This window comes from Homo sapiens, chromosome 17 (assembly GCF_000001405.40).
Source record: "Homo sapiens chromosome 17, GRCh38.p14 Primary Assembly".
Lineage (NCBI taxonomy): Eukaryota > Metazoa > Chordata > Mammalia > Primates > Hominidae > Homo > Homo sapiens.
In genome coordinates, this window is record NC_000017.11 from 58387014 (window position 1) to 58401416 (window position 14403).

A 14403-nucleotide genomic window follows, 5' to 3' on the forward strand; every position below is an offset into this window, starting at 1 on the left:
TCTAACATAAAAGGCAGTCAATAAATGTGTGCTAAATTAATGTTGAAAACGTGAGCTTTTGGTCTCCCAGGTCCACTTTGGTCCATTTCTTTGTGATTCGTACTTCACACTAAGCACTCGTTAGAAACAACCTCTGGAGGGATATCAGAATTTCAAACAATGTTAACAGAGAAGCTGAGTCAGTCTGGGATTAAGTTCAGTCCTAGTTCAGCCAAAAGGAATTGTCTGGACCCTGTTCCTGCTTGAGGAGATATCATAATTGGGCAGCTTGTGTGAGCCATGGGAACACACTTGAATACATTTACATGAGAACATATTTGTCTTAGAAATAGGTACGCCAAAGTGCATGACACCTGGCTGGGTGCGGTGGCTCACACCTGTAATCCCAGCACTTTGGGGGACCGAGGCAGGCAGATCACTTGAGGTCAGAAGTTCGAGACCAGCCTGGCCAACATGGTGAAACCCCATCTCTACTAAAAATACAAAAATTAGCCGGGCATGGTGGCAGGTGCCTGTAATCCCAGGTACTCAAGAGGCTGAGGCAGGAGAATCAGGAGAATCGCTTGAACCTGGGAGGCAGAGGTTGCAGTGAGCCAAGACTGTGCCACTGCTCTCCAGCCTGGGCGACAGAGAGAGACTCCATCTTCAAAAAAAAAACAAAAAAACAAAGTGCAGGACACCTATAAAAGTCAACTACTATTAGATTGACAATGACAATGGCTTCACTGAAAACAAAAGCAGATCCAAAAAGTTCCGAATAGTTCTGAATATGGCTCAGCTAAGATATAACTATCTTACTCTGGCTTTCATCCAATACATTTCCTCTTGGCCCAGTTAGCAAATGGGTAATTATATGACATCAGCCACCATGGGGTGGCTGGGACATAAGGTGGCTTCATGGTGCCATATAATGTGGCACCAAGTTTCTTAATCACCAACCACAGGTGCATCAACTCTTCCCCCCACCACACACACCCCCTCCATAAAACCACCTTATCTGATATTTCTGTTGACACAGTGACTATGCTTCAGGCACTTTCCTTTGCTTCTTCTTAATGTTTGTTCGGGTGGGTACCTCTGTGCAGATGCCTATAAATGAGTTCTTAGGGTATAGGAGTAACCACCCAGTCATCAGGCCATACTTTTGTTTTTAGGCAGGCTTAACTCAGAAAGTAGCAGCATATGTAATTGCTAAGCCAAAACCTACCTGAAATACTTCAGAGGCTAAGCCCCTTTCCTAGCCAAATACCTAACTACTAGAGTTGCTCTCTGTCAGTAAGTTGATTCCTTGCCTGCACATTATCAGACCTGTTTCTGGAGCCATCTTTCTCCCTAAAATGACAGCTGCTACAGTTTCCCCCAAACCCTTTGTGACACGGCATATCAATGGCTCCCAAGTGATCCTTGTCAAGAAACAGAGACTCACTTCATGTGACCACTGAGTACAATGCTGGATGGGCATGCACAGAGATTTCCCTCACAGGTACATCAGAATGGGTCTGAAATATGGCCTCTTACTTGGCAAGTATTTGATGAGCACCTATCTTCTTCCCAAAACTGTTAGGTCCAACCCAGGAGGTACATTCTCACTGGGGAGATGACATATACACAAAGTAAATGGTGGTACAAAACGACATTGTATCAAAGGCCACATTGTGTGGTAAAGCCAATAGGTCCTACAGGATTTGTCAAGGAGATGGATCTTAAGCTCACCCTTAAAGACAACAGAATTTGGACAGGAAAAAAATAGCCACAGGATCTAGTCCACTGGGATCTGTCAAATGGATTTTTCAAACTTCTGAGCTTACTTGAGAAGAAACCAGGAGCCAGGTGAGAGAAAAAGTAAGGTTCTTGAGCAGTTTCTCTCAAGTCTTCAGGGTACAGGAAGACTTGTCTGACTGAAAAAATAGATCTGCAAAGATAGCTTGGATAGCTGAGGTAGGATCAAATTACAAAGGCTACTGCATGCCAAGATGAGAGTTAGAGCTTGCTCTCATATGCAAAAAAGGAATCATCCTAAATTCTTCAGGGGATCTCATTATCAAAACAATACTGTAAGCAGAGCAATTTAATAGCAGAGTAAACTAGTGCAATGAAGAGAAAACTAGTGGTAGGAAAATCAATTAGAGAGCTGTTCCAGTAATCTAGTACTGCACGATCAGAGCTTGAACTCTGGTAGTAATAGTTAAAAGGAGAAGGAATTAATTACAGAAATTATGAAGGAAGTGTTGAAAGTACTTGACAGATTGGAGTACCAGGATGAAGGAAATGGAGGAGTTAAAAGTTCTAAACTTGGAGAATTGGAAAAAAGATGTTGCATTAACAAAATGGGGAAATTAGAAAAAAGCTAGAGTAGGGAAAATTTAAGTCAGTCTTGATATACTAAATGAGAGATGAACATTTAAATCTTAAAGGTAGTTTGAAATAGGAATTGGAGTTTGAGTGACAAGCCTTCTGAAACTGATTCTGATATATGCTAAAATTTGCTAACCGTTGATCAACAGGGACCAAAACAATTCTAGGCAGTTTCCTTACTACATGTAGAATGAAAACCACCAGAGTGGGAGGCCAATATGCAAAACTGGTCATTTCCCAAAAGATAGACTCCATGTTCAGGTAGAAGAACAGGGGCTTCTTCCATTATTTCCCCATAATATTAAATTTACATATCACTTCAGTATTAACCAGGGCATTGAATTGAGTGGATCTGAAACATCTGCAGAAGCTTCAAAGCTTTCTTGTATCTTATAAATTCTGTATTTCTACAATTCTACTACATAAATATGATCTAACACATGCTTTCAAATAACTACTGTCCTGTGTACCATTGAACAAACAACAATGCTGGACAAAATGGTAACAAAACTTGATTTAGTTTGCTTTAGTGCTTCAATTCTTCTAAAGGACCTAATTTCTTTTTAAGATTGAACTACTGCTTTTTCCATGGAAGAAAGTATTACTCGTCTTAGATGAAAGAAAGGATACACTGCTTATCTCTGCAGTTGGTAAATCAGAAGCAGAGCACATGACGGGGTGCAGGGCAGCATGTCCTCATCCTCAAGCTCTGCACTCTTTTATTTTATCCATGCTCCTCCAAAGCTACATTCAGAATCAGCAAAGAAAATGTGGAAGGTGGGAACGAGACAAACCCCAAATCCAGAATATGTAAAGGGAATGAAATGGTGCCCCGAAAGCTGAGCAAAATGGAATACAAAACAAAGAAAACAGAAGGCATGAGATCAGAGCTTTCTAACTAATAAGTTATAAGGGCCCCAGTCAAGTTATATAAGGTAGATCCTTTTTTTAAAAAAAATTTTCTAGAAGAATGTCACGTGGCCCTATCATTTTTCTTTAGTTGAAGAAAGTGAGGCAAATGTTAAGATATTGTTTTCTAGAGCAAAAGAGTCTAGCTGCTTTACACTTGGGATTCTGGTGTAAAGAGTAAAACCTGCAACTTCGATGCTCACCTTGAATACCAGTGAGTGTAGGATTTTATTTCACCTGCTACTTAAAACCTGTGGCCTAATCTACACTGTTTCAGTAACAGTAGCCTTAAAACTATATGAACATCTTTAGAAATAGTAATCAGAAAAGGGTCTTCTGAAATTAAGATGCTTACAATCAGTTGTACTTGGTTTTCCTGCACCATCCTTTGATACCAGCATACTCAAATTCTAGCTCCTCAGCTAAATTCTAAAAGAGGTTTAATGATCCCGTTTACTAAGTGCCTAGAATACTCAATATTGCTTAGCGAAAGTAGCAATTTAATGAAAAAGGCAAAAGAAAATGGATGAGAAACATGAAAGAAAAGCAAATTTTAAACAAAGGACTGAAACTTTTTGTTTTTCACAGAATGAAGTTTCCCTGATCACTCTTCTCCACACTGCTGTTCTTTCTCATTGTAAACTCCCATAGAAACTCACTGTATATCTTATTTAGCACTTATTATAAATTCTCAAGGTAGAGTTCTCTAGTACATATCTACAGTATCTGAAGGGCTCCGTTAGTAAGCACCTTGAGGGCAGGAATGTTTGTTATCTTATGCTCCTTCAGGCCCTCTCCAGGGCCCAGCATTGTGCCTTGCACCAGGGTTTAGTAATACTGAGTAATTGTGAAGCCAACCGGAGATATGGAGTACACTGAGGACCAAACTTAGAAAGATTGTGAAGCAGTGGGACAAATAAAAAGGGTGAGGGATGAGCCTTCAGACATGAGTGTGTGCTGGAAAATTGAGCTGAAAAATTAAATTTCTAATTCCAGATAATTCCTTTGCCATTGTTTATTCCTGGTCAGGGATCCCACCTCTCCACCACTACCCCCATTCCACACCGCCCAACACATTTTTTTCCTTCCAGCATCAGCCAGGTGCAGAACAAAAGGAAATTAACGATTTAGTTATTGCTCCAATGCTGAAAGTTTGAAAGTCAGTCATTTGGAGCAGGTTCCATTGTGTGTCCCTGCATGTCTTGGGCTTTGGTGGCTGTGCACAGAGTACCATGGCTCCAGTCACCACAGTGGGGGCCAACGCTGGACGCCCTGGCTTCTGAGCAAGAGAGATGAAAGGCTTCTTCTAATGTAATAACTGACGGCCTCTCAGTGTCGTTTGAACTGTTTACAGGCTGAGTTAACGATTACAGGCAATGTGTATCTTGGCCAGGTGCCCGAAATTCTTACCCACCCGTCAGATATTATCAAAGAGCCCTTCCATGCCTGGCTGGAGTCCTTCCAAAGCACCTCATAGAGATGCCGACACAAAAGGAGGAGTGTTCAGAATGTGCTCTCTGTCTCTCCAGAGGCCAAGCAAGAAAGTCAGAGGATCAGCATGAATTAGGTGCTGGGGACACTGAGTTTCCAGGACCACTCAGGACTGGGGAGAGGGTCAAGGTCAGTACTGGGGCCAGGAGAACCAGATTCCTTTTGAAGCAGTTTAGGAGGTGTATGTAAGAGTCTTTGCAGCTGGTAGCTAAAGGATGGGGGTAGAAAAACGACCCTCAAGATGAAACAGAAATCTACACCACATAATAGAGCAAGCAGCCCCTAAGACAGTGGATCTGGAAGAATGGACTAATTATTATGGGGCAGTTATCAGAGGAGGGAGGAAAGTATATTTTCCCCCCACGGGATATGCACACAATTTGTAAAAGAATATCATCTTAAGGACAGGACAGAGCAGGATAGAGTAGGAAACTTCAAAAATAATAGTGGATAAAGTAGGGAGAGCTAAGAAAATACCTCTTTATTGGGGTGAATCCCAAGAGACTAAATGGCATCTGTTTAGGAACTATCAAAATGTTTTTTGCACAAATACATACTTCATATTAATCATGAGATATAATGGGAAGCCAGCTAGTTTATGACCAAAAAATGAACTTATCATCAAATAATGCTGGAAAAGCTTAGGAAAATAGTCATTTTTACTTCTTATTTATTAAGTACCTATTGACCTCTGGAATACATATGGAAGGGAAATAAATGGCAGTCCCTACAACTAAGATGTATAAATCTAAAGTCAATATGTAAGACAGTTACACACTCATTCCAAAACTACTATCACTACAACGATTCTCTCAAAGGGGAATATCTGTCTTCAAAATCTAGACAGGGGGTTATATGGCTTCTTTATCTCCATACACAGCCTAATGTAGAGGACAGCATATAACTTAGCACAAAATGCTCTCACAAGAAACTTTGGCAACAATGGATGTCATTCATGCTCTTTTATCCATATGTGAATATAATAATCATTATTACCTTGTGTTTCCTTGAAGCTTCACTTGGATATGGTTGTTTCATTCTCTTGTCCTAACTTGCTGGTTAATGTTGCTATTATGGAGCAGCTGGTGACCCACCCTGTGTAGTGGGGCATAGGCCCTGGTGTTAAAAGACTCTTCTTTGGGTTATCTACCTTGAGGAGGAGATACATTTGACATTACAGGTGACCCTTAAACAACACAGGTTTGAACTGCGTGGATTGTCTTCTGCCTCTGACACCCCTGAAACGGTAAGAACAACCCCTCATCTTCCTCCTTAACCTAGTAAGGTGAAGACAAGGAGGATGAAGACCTTTATGATGATCCACTTTCACTTAATGAATAGTAAATACATTTTCTTGGGCCAGGCACGGTGACTTATGCCTGTAATCCCAGCACTTTTGGAGGCCAAGGTGGGTGGATCACCTGAGGTCAGGAGTTCGAGACCAGCCTAATCAAAATGGTGAAACCCCATCTCTACTAAAAATACAAAAATTAGCCAGTATGGTGGCAGATGCCTGTAGTCCCAGCTACTTGGAACGCTGAGGCAGGAGAATCACTTGAACACAGGAGGCAGAGGTTGCACTGAGCCAAGATGGTGCCACTGCACCCCAGCCTGGGCATCCAGAGCAAAACTCCATCTCAAAAAAAAAATTCTCTTATGATTTTCTTAGTAATATTTTCTTTTTTCTAACTTACATTATTGTAACACAGTATATGATACACATAACATGCAAAATATGTTAGTCTACTGTTATTAGTAAGGATTCTAGTCAACAGTAGGCTAGGTTTTGGGGGTATCATATGTTATATGCAGATTTTTGACGTGCAGGAAGTCAGTGCCCCAATCCCTGTGTTGTTCAATAGTCAACTGTACTATTTTGATTACAATGTAGGTCAAGAAATTGATTAATTTAATGTTTGCGCTTCATTGTAATACTTTCTACAACAGATCATAACTCATGTGCATTTTACTTGGGCAGTGCCCTGAATAGAAACACAACTGGAGGGCCGGGCGCGGTGGCTCACGCCTGTAATCCCAGCACTTTGGGAGGCTGAGGCGGGCGGATCATGAGGTCAGGAGATCGAGACCATCCTGGCTAACATGGTGAAACCCCGTCTCTACTAAAAATACAAAAAAAATTAGCCAGGCGTGGTGGCGGGCACCTGTAGTCCCAGCTACTCGGGAGACTGAGGCAGGAGAATGGCGTGAACCTGGGAGGCGGAGCTTGCAGTGAGCTGAGATTGCGCCACTGCACTCCAGCCTGGGCAACAGAGCGAAACTCCGTCTCCAAAAGAAACAGAATTGGATGTGGTTGGGTTGTTTCAGAGAAGCACTCCCAACATTCCCTAGACTCCTCTCTACTGGGGATACCCTTCTCTCTTGAGGAAAGACAAGAGTTCAGTTTGATTTTTAGAACACAATTAGAAATCTTGGTTGCAATGAAATGAAAGAAAGAATGTGAGTCAGTGGTAAGTTTGAAAGGTAAAACTACAAAAGGAAACCCTATCCATTGACGGTGAATTTTAGAAGAAATTTCAGAGAATCTCTTAGAATGTGGCCGCATGCTCTTATAGAAAATAGCCTTAAAAAAAGAAGAGAACATGTCTTCGGCTTATCTATGACTTGATATCAAATAGAATAATGAAGAAAAGTAAAGCATTGAGTATTATGTAAATGAAGAGAAATAATTTAGAAAGTTATTAGAGAAACAGAAGAAATCAAGTAAAGTAAGAACTTAGGTATCACTGCACTTCTGAAATATGCAGAAACCAGATAGTTGAACAATCCTCACACAGCGTGGGTGAGAGTACACCTGGAGCACTTCCTATCCTATGCTTAGAGGTCTTACTTTGTAAAAGAGGTTAACAGACAAGAAGTTCAAAGCAGGCCAACAAAAGGGTAGAAGGACTTGAGGAGATGATTCACAGGGAAGGGCAAGGGCCACCTAGATGAATACTTCCAAGAATAACAACAGGAAGTGTACCTGCAATAGTTACCTCTCCAGTAACTGGGCTGCTCCAGATGCATTGGCTCCATTGAAACACCAGACAAAGACCAGCTGTGTCTTTGAACTTTAGGACTTTTGGGGTGGGTGGGAAATAGCCCTCTTTCATCCTCCCAACTGCTGTTACTTTCAGGGTTGTGAAAATCTATGGAGGCACAATGGTTCAGCTATTCCACCTTATCCAGAGAGTTGAAACTCCACCACAGAGCTCTCCAAAGTGGCACATGGTGCTGTGCAGGCAAGTATATCGAGAGGAAAACAAAGCTCCTTATCGGTTTGCTGTATAATAAGTCTGTTTGGACAGATTGACAGTATATGGAAAATGGATAAGAAACACTGATTTCCTTCCTCACAAGATACTACTACAACCTCTTTCTGCCTTCAGTACCTAGCAAAACTAGCAAATATTAAACAGGATCTGAAATTCCTTTGGGAAAAAAATATAAGGCAATGACTTTGAGACAGCCAAATAGTCTGTCATAGCATGTCTTACTTATCCAAAGATAATGGAAAGATGATTGTCAATACAAGGCAATATAATGTGATGTTAAGTTCCCTAGCTTTAAATGTATATACAACTCAACTATTTCTGATCAGAGATCTGGTTCCATAGTCAGATGCATCCAAATCCACTACCACAGCAACAGCTATGAAATTACCCCTTACCCCTTTATGAGGGACAGTTTATTATTGTGTACACTTGAACTCCTAGAAATAAATAGTCACAGTTCCCTGTGACTAATAAGTAATTATATTATTATGGCAATTTAATCAGAAAGCTATAGAACACAAAAATCTGAGAAATATTCTTTTGGAAGAAAGATCATGTAACTTAGTCCCTCACTATAAAGATCAGGTGTTAAACTAAATAAAAAAGAGCAGACTTGTTTTGCAGCTTGACAAAAAGAAAGGTGGTTTCTCTAGCTAAAAGTCTGTAGATGATGCAGGAACTGCTGCTTAGAAACTACTTTCTAAACAAACTGCAAAGGGATGACTATAAACATTTTATCAACATATTACAATAAAATCCTCTAAGAAGCTGCCTCACTATTAAGGATAGAGAAAAATCACAGATGCTGTGATTTCAGTTCTTCTCTTTCATTTTCTGTATTTTGGAATTGTCTCTAAAATCTAAGCCTTCATTTGACAGGGAGGGGTAAAAGGATCTTTTTCTGATGGGAAGACACAACCGTTAGGATGTAGCCTGGCATGCATTTCCATTGCCTGTTAATGTAGCCTGCAGAAAACTGTCTCCAGAGGAACAACAGCAGCAATACACCAACTTATTCAACAAAATGATGGTTATTTTATCACATTTATTGAAATGTAGACAGTGAACCCAGTATAGCATATGACATAGGAGGGAACAGGCCTGCTCATCAAAATCCCAACCTAAAAAAGACCAACGTGATATGGAGGATACAGAAATGATAACAACTGTTGATAGAAGAAACGTTTGACTTGACAGTGGGCATGGATTTTCAAATCACCCAAAAATGAAAATAAGAGACAAAAAACAGAAGGACCACCATGTAGATTAAAATTCTTAAGGGGCAAGATAGTCAACACAACTGAGGAGAGATGAGCACGCAACCATTTAACAGGAAAAAAACTCAGATCCCACATGCTGAAACAGATAAGCCTTAGACAAGGCTGAAACAGAGGGAAAGAAGTCAGTCTGTGAGGAGGTCAGATTTAACTGTTTTCTACTAAGTACAATTAACTAAAATAATGAGTGGAAGAGGGGACTTGAGGGGGAAAAAACAGAGCGGGTACTGTCCTAAGGTTATCCATTTTACATGTAACCATGCTCTCAACAGGCAAAATTTCAAAGGCCAGATATTTAATTTGGCTTCAGGGTCTCCAAAGGGAGCTATTTTTAGAGACTGGTCTGAGGTTTGCTTAGAGTTAGTAGCTTCCTCTAAAGGATTGAAAATAAGGATTTAGAATATTCTCTCTATAGAATATATACAATATGGAATATGTATATATGTATGGAATACATCTATACAATATATAGACATAATCATTCTAACCTAAACATTTTTTATCCTTTATATATACACACACACACTACCATAGTAGTTGCTTTTGTATAAAATCAAATATGATGCTAATTTCAAATAATTCTCTGTCACTGGTTGGTATGACATACACAATCTTCAACTTCAATTTCCTTCAGAACTTGTTGAGTTCCTTTGGTTCTGATGGAAAGATTCAGGGCTTTGATTTTCTAGCTTACCTTTATTTGATGACAGCTAAGCTTAGAAATAAAAAAAAAAAAAACTCCGTGTGTGTAGGAATACAGAAATCAGGGTAGAGATTGAAAGAAAAGAAAACCACTGAAAACCTAGAGGGGGAAAAATAAATGTATGTGTACAAGCAAACTTTATTACAGGATATTCATTTAAAATGTGAAACAATTCATCAACTAGGATTATGAAGAATGTGCCATTTTTTATGAAACACAGCAATCCCACAAACTCAAAAGAAAAGACCAAAAACATGAAAAGAAAAGAGATAATTCTACCTAATTCTCAAATACAACTACCAATTATGGAACAGAATATTCTGATTAGCACAAGTCGCTAATAATAAAAGTTTTTGGCCAGGCATGGTGGCTCATGCCTGTAATCCCAGCACTTTGGGAGGCTGAGGCGGGAGGACCACCTGAGGTCAGGAGTTCCAGACCAGCCAGGCCAACATGGTGAAACCCTGTCTCTACTAAAAAAATACAAAAATTAGCTGGGCATGGTGGCAGGCACCTGTAATGCCAACTACTCAGGAGGCTGAGGCAGGAGAATCACTTGAATCTGGGAGGCAGAGGTTACAGTGAGCCGAGATTGCACCATTGCATTCCAGCCTGGGTGACAACAGTGAAACTCCGTCTCAAAAAAAAAAAAAAAAGTTTGTGATGAGAAAAGAAAATAGCTTTTATATGAAGAATGCAAGTCCTTTTAATTATCAGGCCCAGAGAGACATTAAAATGAGACCGCAGTCAAGTCCTACTCCCCGCTTTAGGCTATGTTATTCATCTCTTGAAACTGCTTGCTATTGCCACAAATAGCTATAAATTAATCTAATAATGCCACACCAGACACTATAACCCATACCCTGTAGCTTAAAAATGTATAGCCAATTACTAATCAATGTTATTTCTGTAAACCAATGAGAATTTCTGACAAACAACTTTGTATCAGCCCACTCCCTATCCCTCTTTTTTGCTTTTAAAAATCCACTTGTAACTGCTGCTAATCAGAGTGTATATTCAGGGCAACTTGAATCTAGGCTCTGGGGTTGCAATCCTTAAACTTGGCTCAAATAAGCTCTCCACTTATATTAATTTTGCCTCAGCTTCTTCCTTTTAGGTTGACAGTGATTTATTTACCTTTCTGAAGACCAGGAAGTCCTTAAAAATTCAATCTGTACTGTTGAAATCCTTTCTTCAATGTATTGGTGCACTTTCCTGCCTAAATACATCATGTTGAATGAAAGTTAGCCTTTACTTGGTGTCTACACTACAAGGATATCATTATGGTCATTTTTGGCATGAAATAATATAAGAGACTGGGCTAAACTTACAATCTCCCTGGGAAGTTCTTATTTGCTTTTTAGGTCCATTACATCTGCTTCTTTTTTGATATATCTCTGGTTAATAAGCATAGCAGAGAAAAAATTCCAGTTAATTTATTATTTATTTAATGAAAAGTATCCTATAGAACTTTGGTTCTGGGGTAAGGTACAGAATAGGAAGTAAAAATTCAAGTGACCAGATATTAAATTAACCTTGCCACCAATATTGCCAAACTGGAACAACAGGGTATCTAAAGACAAAACACATTTTCAGAAATTCCACCCATAGAAATGGAGTCTAGCAATCATTCATTCTTAGCACTGTATTGCTCAGTATCTCAAGACTTTGTCCAATAGCCTCAATAAATGTATAAAGATATCAAGAAGTAAAGGTCAAAAAAGGAACCGTGAACATCAAACAAGGCCACTGGAAGTGACCCAAAACATCACATGCTGGGCTTTCCTTTTTAATGATAATAACAGTGATAGTGAATGTTTATCCTTGTCTTTCTTTCAAAGAGCTTCTAAATCTTTGCAGACATCTCTTACTAATCTTTATTAGGCTTTGGGAAGAAAACAGTTTTCCCCAAGAAGTGCCTTCGGAGAAGAAGGAGGCTTCCCAAAACCAATAAAAAGGAAAATGTTTGCCCTTCTCCAGGTCCTCCCCACGCCCCACTGGTCTCCTAACTCCCACTGTGTTGTACTGGTGATTGAAATGAATTATAATACCATGCAAGTGTTGAAAGGATAATAATGGTAATTCAGTTTGTTTCCAAAAGAGTTATAAGCCATGTGTGTTTAATCATAACAGGGAACAGGTAAGTAGAAAAGATGAGGAAACCCATAATTACCTTTATCCCATTATTTACTTATTTTGGGAAGAGACTTCAAATTGGTAAAGTTACAAAACACTGAACACAGATTTTTTTATACTGCAGACTGTTGGTCTCTGAGAAGGCTCAAAGGATGGTCTTTACCTGAAAATTTTTTCAGGGAGACAAATATTTGATAGATGCTATGACAAAAACTCTGCTTATTCTTACTTTGATCCAATTCTTCTCAGATAGGGAACTGAGAGTCTTAGAGACTTGCGGGATAATTTCCAAGCAGGCTATAGAATCGTATCTGCTGAGTTTCAGAAAACATGTTGGGACCAGCACAGTATAATGAACTGGGGAAAGTAGTCCCCTTCACAATCCTGAACTCCTTCCCTTCTGGTCCTTAGAAACATGGCTGCAAGCTACACACCAGAAGCTGAAGCGCCAGCATTCTGAGCAACTGTCCCAGAGTAGCAGCAATTTTTTTTTTTTTTTTGAGACAAAGTCTCACTCTGTCACCCAGGCTGGAGTGCAGTGGTGCCATCTCAGCTCACTGCAACCTCCACCTCCCAGGTTCAAGTGATTCTCCTGCCTCAGCCTCCCAAGTAGCTGGGATTACAGTTGCGTACCACCACGCCTGGCTAATTTTTGTATTTTTAGTAGAGACTGGGTTTCACCATGCTGTTCAGACTGGTCTTGAACTCCTGACTTCATGATCCACCCGCCTCAGCCTCCCAAAGTACTAGGATTACAGGCGTGAGCCACCGCACCCAGCCAATAGCAGCAATTTAAAAAAATACTCTAAATTTTCAAAAAGGGAAGATGGAAGAGTGATATATAATGTGGTTCTAGGATCCCTCAGACTCTGATAAGTCAAAACTTAGAAAACAGCTGCTTTGTGTCAGTGATCACCTCATTGATCATGGAAGGAAGCTAATGGGGTTACCAGTACGGAACAGGCACACATACAAAGGTCCAGGGCAGATAAGTGATTCACCGTACCACAAGTAACAGGTATTAAGTTCCCACCCCAGAACTCACATACTATTAGTCATTCTTTAAACCACTAAGGCTACCTGTACTACATTATGGTAATATTTAATCAGCACCCTTAACCCACAAAATTTTGAAGCTAAAGCCTTGTCCTTTCGGCTACATTAAAAATACAAACAGTCTTGCTTAGTTATGTTAAGCTGATGCCAAATTGAACGCAAATAGGTTAACGGAGTCTAAATCAATAACCTTCACACTTAGTAATATTTCTGATAGTAATTAGGTGAATAAGGAATAGCTCAAGTTTAATTACTATTAATAATAATACCTAACATTTGCCATTTTCAAAGGCAACACTCATACATTATTTCATTTCAGGTAGTTAGGCCATTTATTACTATTATTCCCATTTTACTCAGGAAGCCACAAGCTCAAAGAGGTTAAGCAATTTTTCTTTACGTCATAAAGCTAAGAAGGATCAGCACTGAGATTAAAATACAAGTCTACTGAGAGCACTTTTCACTGTAGGATGTCGCTCCTCATTTTAGAATACCTTTTATGCCTTATTATCATATTATATCATTATATATGAATCCTGTGCAAAGAGCACCATTTGGTGGGCATATTATCTTAATTATTTGATTGGTGATAGAAATTATGTTCTTAGGCCAGAAGGCATCCAGTTATACATAAGTTAGAAGATAATGAAGTAACTCTGCCCTGAGGGAACCCAAGAAACACTCTGATATTCAAAAGGAAAGAAGTTCTCATCTAGGATGTCAGACTGCCTACAAAACAACTGCCTAATCACAGAGCATTCAACTGGTGACCATAGGGTAACCTACATTTCTGGGAAAAGGAAAAAGCAACAGGCAGAAATGGTAGTTTCTCACCTTAGGAACTTTGCATGGTGGTCTGACTTCAGAGATATGTTCCTGATCTATTTTGGGGAGAACATACTTTCCTTCATGCTCACTAGATGCAGCACTGGACAGGTAATTTTCAAATAATAATTACCAAATGATTCATGCTTATTAATAGATCCTCATGAAAGTCTTGAAAACCAGGTAAACCAGAAAGTTACTTCTCCTCCATTTGATAAATTAAATAATCGTTGAATGTCATGCCAAAGACTATTTTACAAGTCATCTGGAGAACTAGTGGTACTAGTCCTCCTGATATTGGAACATCCATGTGTTTGGGTATGCACCCACTGTTTGGGTGCCAAGCCCTCGTTTCTGTGTAGAGTTTAGCTACAAG

The 14403-nt window shown here is 39.6% G+C and overlaps 1 protein-coding gene across 8 annotated transcripts in view, besides 2 other annotated features; it reads right to left on the reverse strand.

Annotated features, from left to right (window-relative positions):
• Window positions 1-14403, reverse strand: part of RNF43 (ring finger protein 43) — a 65035-nt gene that overhangs the window by 34514 nt on the left and 16118 nt on the right. The window lies entirely within an intron of this gene.
• Window positions 7168-8367: an enhancer, noted in NCBI's record as "CDK7 strongly-dependent group 2 enhancer chr17:56471542-56472741 (GRCh37/hg19 assembly coordinates)". NCBI's record gives its function as "activates an origin of replication core promoter dependent on BRD2, BRD4, P300/CBP, MED14 and CDK7 cofactors, with strong dependence on CDK7, by STARR-seq in HCT116 cells {active_cell/tissue: HCT116}" and the evidence as "EXISTENCE:reporter gene assay evidence [ECO:0000049][PMID:35650434]".
• Window positions 11451-12306: an enhancer, noted in NCBI's record as "OCT4-NANOG-H3K27ac hESC enhancer chr17:56475825-56476680 (GRCh37/hg19 assembly coordinates)". NCBI's record gives its function as "activates a minimal SCP1, AML or CMV promoter by ChIP-STARR-seq in primed H9 embryonic stem cells {active_cell/tissue: H9 hESC(primed)}" and the evidence as "EXISTENCE:reporter gene assay evidence [ECO:0000049][PMID:30033119]".